At 44.6% G+C, this 14,598-nt stretch overlaps 1 protein-coding gene across 1 annotated transcript in view; it reads right to left on the bottom strand.

The window, feature by feature from the left end:
* The window catches only part of MOCOS (molybdenum cofactor sulfurase), an 84,661-nt gene that overhangs the window by 54,723 nt on the left and 15,340 nt on the right, over positions 1–14,598 (bottom strand). The window contains exons 5-8 of the mRNA NM_017947.4: positions 14,246–14,322; positions 12,159–12,358; positions 3,953–4,069; positions 1,458–1,919 (exon numbers count right to left, since the gene is read on the bottom strand). Of these exons, the coding sequence (NP_060417.4) occupies positions 1,458–1,919; positions 3,953–4,069; positions 12,159–12,358; positions 14,246–14,322 (856 nt within the window). The remainder of the gene's footprint in view (positions 1–1,457; positions 1,920–3,952; positions 4,070–12,158; positions 12,359–14,245; positions 14,323–14,598) is intronic.

The raw sequence follows: 14,598 nt of genomic DNA, 5'->3' as shown, positions 1-14,598 counted from the left end.
GTAAAGATGCAAAAAAAAGTAACATTATTTACTGATGCCACAATTTAGAAAAATTAAAATTTAATATTTTTAATATACTTTAAGCTTAAATAAAAGTAGTTACAGTTCACAGAGCTCCCATAAACGTTTCACTCCAATTCTGATTGTTGACTTTTCTAAATCATTTGAGAATAAGTTGCAAAATAATGTCTCATCATCCCCATAATACTCTACTGTACATATTCTAAGTATAAGGACACTCTCTGACATAACCCCAGTACAACCATCAAAATTAGGAATTACCATTGACCTGATATTACAACTAATCAATAGACTCCATTCAGATTCCACCTCTGCTGTCTGCATCGAATATCACGTTGCATACATTTGTCGCGTCTCTCTAGTCTCCTTCAGTCTCCTCTTGTCTTTCACAACCATGATATTTTTGAGAAGTAGAGTCCAGCTACCTTGCTAAATGTCTCTTAAGGTGGGATTATCTGAGCTTCCTTATTATTTCTGCATTTTTGGTAGGAATGCCTCAGGACCAACGCTATGTTCTTCTCTGTACATCCCAGGAGACACACCCCATTCATTTGTCCCAATGTTGGTGATGTCAACTTTTGCCACTTGGTTAACATGGGGTCTATTAGGTTTCTCCATTGTAAAATTCATCAATAAGTAGGCGGTACTTACTAATTAATAAGTATTTTATGGAGAGATATTTTCAGAATATGCAGATATCCTGTTACTTATCAAATTTTCATTCATTAGATTTAGCATCTATTGATGACTATTGCCTAAATCAATTATTGGCATGATGGTTGCAAAATGGTAGTTTTTAAAATTCTATCATTGATTTATTAGTTGGTATTCTATAGTAGGGTTGAGCTTCTTCTCTATTTATTCGCTAATTCATTTTTACTTTCTACTGGACTCATGGATTCCTGTGTTTCTCAAATGCTCACCACTCATCACTATCAGTACTTATTTTGATGTACATATTGCCAAAGACTTGGCCAACGGGAGCTCCTTCAAGCTGGCTCTTGTGTCCTTTTGACATATCTTCAGGTCACCTGGGCAAAGTGCTTAACCTCAAAACCCTCAGGCTCCATATCTATAAAATAGGGATAATATTACTATCTACCTCATATTTCACCATTTTAAGGATCAAATGAAACAAATAAACACATACAATGCTTCAGCACACAGCCAGCACACACATTCAGTGAAAGTTACAGCTATAATTAATAAGAGTAATGACACATTCACCACTCAGAAACAGGGTCCTCTCAGGAGTCCCCGTGAGCAGTCATGTTCAAAAGTCAGCACAGACCAAGAAAGGGAGAGTGAGAATGGCTTTTCTCACCACAACACTCTGATGAATGATTTTGATTTTTTTCATGCTTTTCTTCACTTTATCAAAAAATAGAGAGAGTAAACAAAGAGAAGACTTTCTGTGCTGCTGTGAAATTCCTTACCTCAAATGCAGCACAGGATTTGATTGGATAGAGATAAAGGTTAGTGACAACATGTGGCCCAAGGGCCCCCTCCAGGACTCCTGCAGCTTTCTCTGAAGGAGTCGGCTGGGTTCTGGCGACATCACACACAGGTGGGGCCACAGGCACAGCATTCACAGTAGACGAGTTGTTCCAAACCCTGGAGCCTGTGAGGGCATCTTCCTGAGGCGAGAGGCTACGTCTGCCCATGACAGCAGGTATAACATCAGCCTGGCTGTCTGCTGATGGGGCTCCAGTCTCCCCGGTGTCAGCATGGGCCTGAGGGACAGGCCAGTCCCCTGATGAGTGCAGGCGAGTGTCTATGATGAACCTAAGAAAGGCCTGGACATCATCCAGCGTCGACATGTATCCAAATGAAATCCTCACAGATCCTGTGGGCTGCCCATCTATGAGGTCCATATTGTCCCCACAGACATGACCAGCCTAGGATAAGAGGGAAGTGCATCAGCCAGAGTGACCCCTTTCTCATAGAGACACTGGAAACAGTTCGGCAAAATAAATTTTGTTAATTTTAAAATTAACCCAGGAAAACAGAACTGCAACATTAATATGTGCTGTGCGTCTGGGACATAGTTCAGCTCTCTACCTGCAGGGGACCACTTTCTGGATCTCATTTTGCTCAACTGTAAATTGGGACCAATATCAATCTCAAGGGGCCATTAAAAGTTTAATAGAAATACTTCATGGAAAGCATTTACCTAGAGCCAGGCACAGGGCTGGCTCACAGAGGTGTCAAAACACAGACTAAGGTTTCAGAAGCACCAAGGGGTCAACCTCAAGGTCTACCCGGGGCTGAGATGGGAGAAACATCACTGGTCACTCTCGTTAGCCTCTCATTACTGAGGGGAGGCCTGCATCCCTGAGAGCTGCCCCTTGACAACAGGGAAAGGCAGAGATGCTGCCCCTGCAAATGACCAGCCCCGGGCCACTGTGAAGGCCAAGGTCAGCTTGAGTGCCCCTGCAGGGAGATGGGGAAGAAAGGCAGGAGAATCTCAGTCTCCGAGCCCGGCTGCCTGGTGTTGGTCACAGGTCAGCACAGTGCATGGAGCAGTCCTGGACAAACCTTGGTGCTGGATCCGGGTCAGACACCCGAACAAATGGAGCCACAGCGTTCCATAGGACCAAATATTCTATCTGGAGCTGTGTTTGTGTTCTGAGCCTCCCTCTCCCTCTCTATTTCTTCTCCTCCCTCTCTCCTATCTCCTCCCTCTCCTTCTGTCCTATCCCTCTTTCTTTTTAAACAAAACTCAGTTCATGGTTAGTTGAGATCTAGTATATACAGTATTTCACAGCAACCAAAGGAAAATCAAATTAGAAACTCAAATCAATAAACACTCTTTGCCACTCAAATTATTCCTAATGAAATGGTTCAAAACAGGCTATACCCTGAAGTGAAAAACCTCAGCCCAGGGAAGAGACAGGGAGGGTGGGGATTCTGGGAGACGCAGAATCCCTGGAGCCCTAGAAGAGTTCCACACCGCACCCAACCCAGATGTCAGCTAACTCTAGCTTGGAGGCCGTACCTCAGGAGGGCTGAACCAGGTAAGGGCACATCCTCACACATCCCTTGTTAACACCCCTCCCTTGCCTTTAAATGGTTGGCCTCAAAGTAAAAAATGAATCTGAAAGTCTGCTATAGAGATAATATCTTGAAGCATTTTCTTTTTTTTCTTTTCTTTTTTTTTTTTTTTTTTGAGACTGAGTTTTGCTCTTTTTGCCCAGGCTGGAGTGCAATGGCAGAATCTCAGCTCACCACCACAACCTCGACCTCCCGGGTTCAAGCAGTTCTCCTGCCTCAGCCTCCTGACTAGCTAGGATTACAGGCATGCACCACCACACCTGGATAATTTTATATTTTCAGTAGAGAGAGGGTTTCTCCATGTTGGTCAGGCTGGTCATGAACTCCTGACCTCAGGTGACTCGCCCACCTCGGCCTCCCAAAGTGCTGTGATTACAGGCATGAGCCACCGTGCCCGGCTTCTTCTTTTTTTTTTTCTTTGGTTGGAGGGGGATGGAGTCTTGCTCTGTCACCCAGGCACTGGAGTGCAATGGTGCGATCTCGGCTCACTGCAACCTCTGCCTCCTGGGCTCAAACGATTCTCCTGCCTCAGCCTCCCAAGTAGCTAGGATTACAGGCGCATGCCATCATGCCTGGCTAATTTTTGCATCTTTAGTAGAGACAGGGTTTCACCATGTTGGCCAGGCTTGTCTCGAACTCCTGACCTCAGGTGATCCACCTGCCTCGGCCTCCCAAAGTGCTGGGATTACAGGCGTGAGCCACCGCACCCGGCCTTCTTGAAGCATTTTCCATTTGTATTCCTTTTCCTTTGTACATGCACAGAGTAGGCGTGGAGAAATGAGTATGCAGCAGCAGCCCCCACCCCAGACACACAGGCAGCAACAGGTGTTGCTGGGTCTCGCTGACCAGCGTCTGGATCGCAGAGCCCTGTACCAACCTGAAAATGCTTCCTGACCATCTCGTTGCTTATGCCCAGGTGCCTCTGGCAGGCCCCAGTGTTACAGAAGCAGCCAGTTCGCAGGTGGATGTTGTAAAGACTGGCCATTTTGTCCACCTGCGGATTTAATGTAACATGGAATGAGCCATTACCAACGTGCAGTTTTACTCTGAGAGATTCAGATCAGGATTTGGACCTCTCTTTCCTAATAATAAAATGATGATACAAGCCTGGAATTGTCCTCTAAAATGATTTATCACAGGTTAAACGTTGTATAAAATGTTTCAGTGGGGCTGGAGACAGTGGCTTCTTGGCATCAGCTGCACAGGGTTGGACCACAGAGCAGGCCCCGCGAAGTGTTATTCCGAGCAGCCCCGCCTCAGCTCGCAGCCTGGACTCCAAGTGTTACTGTGTCCATGCTGAGTATAATTGATTTGCTTTTCCTACTTTCTCCAACTTTCGGTTTAATCACAGAATTGCTTTTCAGTCCAGAAGTTCCCAAAGCTCTTTCCTGCCCTCTGAAGGCTCTGGGAGGTGGTTCTCATTCACATGAGCCCCTGGGATGTTTGCTCCAGTTCCTCCAGGCTGTGAATCAAGTACTCCATTCCCCAAGGGCCTGGGGGCCCAGTAAGAGTCCTCACCCTGGGGGCTCAGGCTGAATTCAGGAGGAGGAGTCACTGAACTGCATTCAGGAAAATAAACACATCTTGCTCAGCTGAGTGAGCCTTTGAATTTTTCTCCCTGGGAAGTCACATGTGGGGTGGCCAGAGGTCACCGTGTGGTCAGCCAGGGATCTTGGCTGGGCAACGATGCCTCCCACAGACCCTTATCAAGACCACGGCAGTCTTCACTTTGGCCATCTCCTCTGGTGTGTGAGAAGAAGCCATTCTCTGGGTTGAACTGAGGGGCTTCAGATGAACAATTCTGTTCCTTCACCCTTGGCTAATGGCCCACTGGCATGCAGACCTGCTAGTGAATTCAGGAGTTTCCCAGCTCTAAGGTGAGTCCTGGCAGCTCTACTGGGCCTGGCCAACTCCATCTCCAGGTCAGGTTTCCCGTCACAAGGCAACTACTAGGGAGACCCCCGACCCCCGTCCAGCTCCCACCAGGCTGAATTAGAGTCCCCGTGGCTGCCCCTCACCCACTCCCCCATATTCACCATTCCAGTTACTTTTGCTGTGAAGTAGGCCACCCAAACTAGGGAGAATAAAACAACAACCATTTTATGCAGCTCATGGCTACAGTGTGGGAAGAATTTAAACAGGGCATGGAGGAGATGTCTCCTGTCTGTCTCAAAATGTCTGGAGTCTCAGCTAGGAAGACTCAAAGTCTGGGAGTAGTTTGGCATCTGGGGGTTGGGATCATCTGGAGACTCCTTTACTCCTGGGTCTTTCTGGTCCACAGGCTGGAAGGGCTTCAGAATTAGGACCGCCAGCCACAGTCCTGAGCTTGGCGTCTCCATGTGGCTTGGCATCCTTGCAGCACACACAGCAGCCTCAGGGCTCGAGACAGTAGCTGACAGCGTAACTCCAGGCTCCAAAGCTAGTGTCCCAGGGAACAAAGCCAATAGGGCATCATCTCTTCTGATCTAGCCTTAGAAGCCATGCAGTGTCATCCTCCCGGCACTCTGTTAGCTATGAGCGAGTCACAGATCAGCCCAGATTCTAGGGGAAGACCCACAGATCCCCAGCCCTCCATGGAGGAGTGTCAAAGTCTCATGGCAGGAGAGGATGTGAGCAGAAGATGCTGTTGCAGCCACACTTACCCTTTGTCCTAATTTCCCTTTTATGCATCAGTCTCTTCTTGCCCTCAGCCCTGGGGAATCCCACACAGGCCCAGACTGTGCCCAGCCAGGTGAAGGAGGTTGTTTTCTATGGCAGGATGAGCACAGCATTCAGGGAGGACTGAGAAACAGGCCCAGCCACAATGCCCTGGAGGCTCCCAGCCCGGGAGCCTTTGTGCCCAACATTCATTGAGCACTTACTTTCTTCTGGGTCCTGTGCTAAGGGATGTATATATTGTGTCTCATTTAATCCTCATATCAACACTATAATCAGGGTATATTTTTATCCCCATTTCACAGAGTCTTGGAGAACTTAACTTGCCCAAGTTCACAGAGCTGGCAAGAGGCAGACAGACTCTGAGTCCCTGCTCTTAATCACCATGCAGTGACTTCCAACAGTGGGAGAATAAAATTAGAAGCCTGGATATACCAAAACAAGAACACAAAGCCTTCTCATAGGAAGCTAAATTCTTTACACATCCCCTGATGAAAAAGAGACAGCCAAACCCAGCTGATGTTTCCGAAGGCCACCAAAATCCCTGTGGAAATTCCCATATCGTGAAGTTCCCTGAACCTGAAAAAACCGTAACTGCACTTTCTTGAACTGGCACAGTTAGTCATGCCTTAGCCACAGAATCCATTCACACAATGAGCTTCCTCTACCAAGGCACAGAGGGAGAAACTCATCCTGTGTCTAGCCCTGGGGAATGAGAGTCCCCAGACACCCACACAGGCAGCCTCACACCCTGGTGATTCTTCTTCTTGGAGGCTTCTTCTCCACTACCAATCCCATGCCACTGCCACAGCACACACAGTTACTTTTTTTTTTTTTTTTTTTTTTTTTTTTTTGAGACAGAGTCTTGCTCTGTCACCCAGGCTGGAGTGCAGTGGTACAATCTCAGCTCATGGCAACTTCCACCTCTCGGGTTCAAGTGATTCTCCTGCCTCAGCCTTCTGAGTAGCTGGGGTTACAGGTGTGTGCCACCACGCCCAGCTAATTTTTGTATTTTTAGTAGAGACAGGGTTTCGCCATGTTGGCCAGGATAGTCTCCAACTCCTGACCTCAGGTGGTCCACCAACCTCGGCCTCCCAAAGTGCTAGGATTACAGGTGTGAGCCACCGCACCCAGGCACATTTACTTTTGATTCAAGAATAAAACTTATGTTACCAATGACCTAGAATAACATATTTAAGAAGGCAAACCTTTTGCCTCTGATGCATTTTCCACCTTGTCCCCTCCAAAAGCATTTAAAATATTGTGCTTCTTAGTAGTGTCAGGGCTGGTTCTGCCAGTACTGACAGCTGAGGGCAGTGGGGGCAAGGGGTCTGCACAGCTGCCATACTCAAGAGACCACCTGTGGCTGTACAGTGTCTGCCCTGAACACCAGTGAGGACCGACATCTCCCCCAGAAGAATATTGCCCAATAGTATTCTTTAGAAAGTTTATGGCTACTCAGAAAAGTGGAGAAAAAGATTCCTTGGGAAATGAATTTTGTTTGGGAAATCTAGGGTTTAACAAATGTGGATTGACTCCCTAACTCATTCTATAAGGACAGCATCATTTTAATACCACAACATGGCAGAGATACAATGAAGAAAGAAAACTTCAGGCCAATACCTATGATGAACATAGACACAAAAATCCTCAACAAAATACTAATAAATAGAATCCAGCAGCACATTAAAGAGCTAATCCAGCCGGGTACAGTGGTGCACACCTGTAATCGCAGCACCTTGGGAGGCCAAGGTGGGCAGATTAATTGAGCTCAGGTGTTCAAGACCAGCCTGGGCAACATGACAAAACCCTGTCTCTACAAAAAATGCCAAAAAATTAGCCAGGTGTCACTACTGGGTATCTACCCAAAGAAAACGTCATTATGTGGAAAAGACACACGCACACATGTTTATAGCAGCACAATTCACAATTGCAAAAATATGGAACCAACCTCAATGCCCATCAACCAATGAGTGGATAAAGAAAATGTGGTATATACACAACATGGAATACTACTCAGCCATAAAACGAAACAAAACAATGGCCTTTGCAGCAACTTGAATGGAGCTGGAGGCCATTATTCTAAGTGAAATAACTCAGGAATGGAAAATCAAATATCATATGTTCTCACTTATAAGTGGGAGCTAAAGTATGAGGATGCAAAGGCATAAGAATGATATAATGGACTTTGGGGACTCAGGGGGGAAGGGTGGGATTGGGGAGGGATAAAAGGCTACATATTGGGTACAATGTGTACACTGCTTAAGTGACGGATGCACCAAAATCTCAGAAACCATCACCAAAGAACTTATCCATGTAACCAAAAACCACCTGTACAATAAAAAACTATTAAAATAAATTAGCTGGGCATGGTGGCATGTTCCTGTAGTCCCAGCTACTCGGGAAGCTGAGGTGGGAGGATCACTTAAGCCAGGGAGGTCAAGGCTGCAGTGAACCAAGATCATGCCACTGAACTCCAGTCTGGGCAACAGAGTGAAACCTTGTCTCCAAGAAAGAAAAAAAAAAAAGAAGAAGAGAAAGTTAATCCACCATAATCAAGTAGGCTTTATTCCTGGGATGCAAAGCTGGTTCAACGTACACAAATCAATATATGTGATTTATTACATAAACAGAACTAAAAACAAAAACCACATGATCATCTCAATAGACACAGAAAAGGCTTATAACAAAATTCAGCATCCCTTCTGTTAAAAACTCCCAACAAACTAGGAATCCAAGGAACATACATCAAAATAACAAGACCCATCTATGACAAAACTACACCCAACATCATACTGAATGGGCAAAAGCTGCAAGCCCTTCCCTTGAAAACTGGCACAAGATAAGGATGACCTCTCTCACCACTCCTTTTCAACATAATACTGGAAGTCCTAGCCACAGCAATTAGGCAAGAGAAACAAATAAAAGACATCCAAATAGGAAGAGAAGAAGTCAACCTATCTCTCTTCACTGATAACATGATTCTATACCCGGAAAATCCCATAATCTCTGCCCAAAGGCTCCTAGAACTAATAAACAACTTCAGTAAAGTTTCAGGATACAAAATCAATGCATGAAAATCAGTAGCATTTTTATACACTAATAATGACCAAGCTGAAAGCCAAATCAAGAATGCAATCCCATTTACAATAGCCACAAAAATAATAAAATACCTAGGAATCCACCTTACCAGGGGGGATATCTACAATGAGAATTACAGAATACCGCTAAAAGAAATCACACACCACACAAACAAATGGAAAAACATTCCATACTCATGGATAGGAACAATCAGTATTGTTAAGATGTTCACACTGCCCAAAGCAATTTACAGAGTCAATGTTATTCCTATCAAACTACCAATGTCATTTCTCATGGAATTAGAAAAAAAAACTATTCTAAAATTCATATGGAACCAAAAAAGAGCCCAAATAGCCAAAGCAATCCTAAGCAAAAAGAATAAAGCTGAAGGCATCACACTACATGACATCAAACTATACTACAAGGCTACAGTAATCAAAACAGCATGGTTCTAGTACAAAAACAGACACATAAATTCAACGGAAAAGGTTAGAGAACCCAGAAATAAAGCCGCACACCTACAACCCTCAGATCTTTGACAAAGTAGACAATAACAAGCAATGGGGAAAAGACTCCCTATTCAATAAATGGTGCTGGGATAACTGGCTATAGATATGCAGAAGATTGAAATGGGACCCTTTCCTATCACCACATAAAAAAATAAACTCAAGACAGATTACAGGCTTAAATGTAAAACCTGAAACTATAAAAATCCTAGAAGAAAATGTAGGAAATGTCATTCTGGACATAGGCCTTGACAAAGACTTCATGATGAAGACTCCAAAAGCAATTGCAACAAAAGGAAAAATTGACAAATGAAGCCTAACTAAACTAATGAACATTGGCACAGCAAAAGAAACTATCAACAGAGTAAACAGATAACCTACAGAATGAGAGAAAATATTTGCAAACTATGCATCTAATAAAGGTCTAATATCTGGAAGCTATAAGGAACTTAAATCAATAAGCAAAAAACAAAGAACCCCATTAAAAATGGGCAAAGAACATGAACAGACCCTTATCAAAAGATGACATACATGCAGCCAATAGCATATGAAAAAAATGTTCGACATCATTAATCATGAGAGAAATGCAAATTAAAACCACAATGAGATACCATCTCACACCAGTTGGAATGGCTATTAAAAGGTCAAAAATTAACATATGCTGCTGAGGTTGTGGATAAAAAAAAACACTTATACACTGCTAGTGGGAATGTAAATTAGCTTAGCCACTGTGGAAAACAGTTTGGAGATTTCTAAAAGAATTTAAAACAGAACTACCATTGGCCAAGCATGGTGACTTATGCCTGTAATCCCAGCACTTTGGGAGGCTGAGGCAGGTGGATCGCATGAGGCCAGGAGTTTGAGACCAGCCTGACCAACATGGTGAAACCCTGTCTCTACTAAAAATACAAAAATTAACCGGGCGTAGTGGTGCACATCTGTAATTCCAACTACTTGAGAGGCTGAGGCAGGAGAATCAATTGAACCCAGGAGGCGGAGTTTGCAGTGAACTGAGATTGCTCCACTGCACTCCAGCTTGGGCAACAAAGTGAGACTGTCTCAAACAAACAAACAGAGCTACCATTGAATCCAGCCATCCCAATTCCTTAATTAAATTACTGGTATATACCCAAAGGAATATAAATCATCCTACCATAAAGGCAAATGCATGCATATCTTCATTGTAGCACTTTTCTCAACAGCAAGGACATGGAATCAACCTATATGCCCATCAGTGGTAGACTGGTTAAAGAAATGTGGTACATTTACACCCTGGGATACTACACAGCCACAAAAAAATGAAACCAGTCCTTTGCAGCAACATGATGCAGCTGGAGGCCATTATCCTAAGTGAATTAACACAGAAACAGAAACCTAAATACTGCATGTTCCCACTTATAATTAGGAGCTAAACATTGAGTACACATGGACACAAAGAAGAAAACCACGGCCACCGGGGCCTACTTGAGGGTAGAAGGTGGGGGGAGGGGAAGATTGAGAAACTACCTTTCAGGTACCCATGTAACAGGCCTGCACATGTATCCCCTGAACCTAAAATAAAAGTTGGAAGAACGCCGGGCACAGTGGCTCACATCTGTAATCCCGGCACTTTGGGAGGCTGAGGCGGGCAGATCACCTGAGGTCAGGAGTTCAAGACCAGCCTGACCAACATGGTGAAACCCCATCTCTACTAAAATATAAAAACTAGCCAGGCATGGTGGCACATGTCCGTAGTCCCAGCTGTTTAGGAGGCTGAGGTGAGAGAATCACTTGAACCCAAGAGGTGGAGGTTGCAGTGAGCTGAGATCACGCCACTGCACTCCAGCCTGGGTGACAGAGCAAGACTCCATCTCAAAAAAAAAAAAAAAAAAAAGTTGGAAGAAAAAATAAAATAAAAATAAAGTGCCAGGTACCTCCCTCACCCTCTCTCTTGCTTCCTCTCTGGCTGCACATACCAGTTCACATTTGCCTTCCTCCACAGGTGGAAGCAACCTAAGGTGTTCACCAATGCCCAATCTTCCAGTCAACAGAACCATGAGCCAAATAAACCTTTTTTTCTTTGTTAAAAACAAAATGTGGGCCAGGCACAGTGGCTCACACCTATAATCCCAGCACTTTGGGAGGCCAACACAGGTGGATCACTTGAGGTCAGGAGTTTGAGACCAGCCTAGCCAAAATGGTGAAACCCCGTATCTACTAAAAATACAAAAATTAGCCAGGTGTGGTGGTGTGTGCCTGTAATCCCAGCTACTCGGAAGGCTGAGGCATGAGAATTGCTTGAACCCAAGAGGTGGAGGTTGCAGTGAGCCAAGATCATGCCATTGCATGCCAGCCTGGGTGAAAGAGCGAGACCCCACCTCAAAAAAATAAATAAAAATGGGGATGCAGATGTGCTTTCAAGGAAAAACCAGCACCGTCTTCCAAACACCCAACGATTGAATCCATTCCCCACAGTGCTGCTCTGGGAGTAACATTTGGTTCCTGTTGTCCATCTGTGACACCCCGTCTGATAACCACCTACCACCATGCCTGAGTGCTCAGTGCAACTCTGGACATTTTAGTGGACCAGGAAGTGAAGTGAACAGCTTATTCTACTATGGCAAAGACCCAACAGTTTCCCACCTGCCATCAGAAGAACTGGCCTCTTTCTTCCCATTTGAAAGTTACCACTTTTGGCTGAGTAAAGAGGACTGAAAAACGAGGGTGAATGAAGGTGGAAAGGCATGTGGCTGAGGGCCTGGTGGCCTCTTCAACAGTGCATGGACTTTGTCACACTACATTGCTCTCGTCTGGAACTAGGATGAGTTGTAATAAAGTCAGCAGGATGGAAAGAAAACCCACCTGGGAGTAACCAATGATGTTCCCTTTGTCATCCAGCACATTAAAATTGATGATTGGGCCCTGAACCTCAGGGCTGCTGAACTCAGAATCGCTGTAAATCCGCACCACAGGGGCTCCATTGGGGTACTGGAGAGAGGACAGGGCCACGTAGGTATACTGAGCCAAGGTGAAGGTGTGCTGCTTTATATTCTCCATTCCACCTCAAATCAATCATGAAACACAAGAGAATCATGAGCTTTATGTAAATTCTCAATTCACTCTTTTTTTTTTTTTTTTTTTTGAGACACGGTCTCACTCACTCTGTCACCCAGGCTGGAGTGCAGTGGTATGATCACAGCTCACTGCAGCCTCAACCTCCTGGGCTCAGGTGATCCTCTCACCTCAGCCTCCCAAGTAGCTGGGACGACAGGCATTCACCACCATGCCTGACTAATTTTTGTATTTTTTGCAGAGATGGAGTTTCACCATGTTGCCCAGGCTTGTCTTGAGCTCCTGGGCTCAAGTAATCCACCTGCCTCAGCCTCCCAAAGTGCTGGGATTACAGGCATGAGCCACCACGCCTGGCACCACTAACTCACTTTTAAGAAAACAAGTTTGTTATAACTGGCAAACCTGGACCTCACATTAATAATTTTAAATGTGTGTAAATAGTGGATGGTACTGCCCTTGTGACAAATGTTTAGGTCTTCAGTACTGAACAACAGAATTTTTCCATAGGCATTCCTGTCATCCTCTTTTTTATACATAATGTTACTTAAACATTTAGATATTTAGACCCTTTGGTAACAGATCACAAAATGTATGTTTTTTCCTCTAAACATATTTTTGCTGTTTGTTTTTATTATTAATGTTTAAATCATTTTAACACTACACAAAGCAATGAAGAATACATGCTTCAACATGAATGAATCTTGGAAACGTGCTAAGTGAAGCCAGACACAAAAGGACAAATGTCGTATGATTCTACTTAGATGAGTTACCAAGAATAGGCAAATCCACAGAGAAAAAAAAGTAGTTCCAAGGGTTGGAAGGGGAGGAGGAAATAGAGAGTTATTGTTTAATGGGTACAGAGTTTCTGTTTGGTATGGTAAAGTTCTGGAAATAGATAGTGGTGATGGTGGCACGACATTGTGAATGTATTTACTACGACTGAGTTGTACACTTAAAAATAGTTAAAATGGTAAGTTTTATGTTATGTATAGTTTACCACAATTTTTATTTTTTAAAAAAGGAACAATGACATAGGAAAAAAATCAGGGTTTGCCATATTGTGGACTGGTACAGTCAACCTTTGCATTCCGAGCTACCTGGACCTGTTAGACACTGTCACCTGCAGTTTGGGGGCCCTGTTAATATCTTTCCTTGGAAAGTACTCACTACTCACTGCCTGTATTTATTAACTACTCCGTTTGTCCCAGATCATGCCCACTCACCTCCCTGCATTGCCATCAGGGCGACCCTCTCTTCCCGTGAATCCTGTCTGCCCCTATGTTGGGCTAAGGCTAAGGTTAAGGCACTGAAGGGTCCCATTACTGTGACAAAAGAGCAATGGCCAGGAAAGAAATCATGCCTCATGCGAAGACCATCGGCAGACACAGTGGTTGGGTGCTCATGGTTAGGCATCAGTATGACTTGGGTTAAATCCTTGCCCTCCTGGTTTCCAGCTCCCTGGCCTGGAAGGCGTTTAACCTCTCTGAGCATCAGCTCATTCATAGGCAGAGCTCCCCCGTGGGGCAGTGGGGAGGACCCAGAAAGGCAAGAGCAGGTAAAGGCCTCAGGATCTGTAACCATTCCCAGGACCCAGGGATGCTCCTCTCATTCTGTGAAGCTAGCAATCTCCTGATTTGGAATGTCTTCTACCTGTTAAAATGTTATTTTAGCTGAAAAAACAAAAAACAATCCAAAAACCCCACCTCATTCTCTTGCTCTCTGAAGTGGTTTTGAAGTTACTAGGAATCAAATTTAACTACATGGAGTGCCAGTCACTTCCACAGACTCTGTCTCCTTTACCTGAATCACACCTGTGCCAGAGCTCCCTCAAGGACACAACAGGAGCAAATTCCACAGGGATAGAAATGTCCACTGACCTGTGAGGCGCTCTAGGGTGTCAAATCCATGTTTTAGCGCGATAACATCAAGGAATGAGATGGTGCCATCTTCAAACCTATAACCACGGGGTAAGGAGAACAGGTCAAGCTGTGGTCAAAACAATCCATGTGCATTTCGTGGTATATAATGAGCTTTAGATTTTAGGCTTAGCTGTTGATGTGGTTTGGCTTTATGTCTCCACCTAAATCTCATCTCTAATTGTAATCCCCAGGTGTTGAGGGATGGACCTGGTAGGAGGTGATTGGATTATGGGGATGGTTTCCCCCTTGCTGTTCTCATTTCGTGATAGTGAGGGAGTTCTCACGAGATCTGATGGTTTTATAAATGGCAG

This window comes from Homo sapiens, chromosome 18 (genome assembly GCF_000001405.40).
Source record: "Homo sapiens chromosome 18, GRCh38.p14 Primary Assembly".
In the NCBI taxonomy this organism is placed as follows: Eukaryota; Metazoa; Chordata; class Mammalia; order Primates; family Hominidae; genus Homo; species Homo sapiens.
Note: the sequence above shows the minus strand (reverse complement) of the source record. Positions and strands in the feature narration are given on the sequence as shown.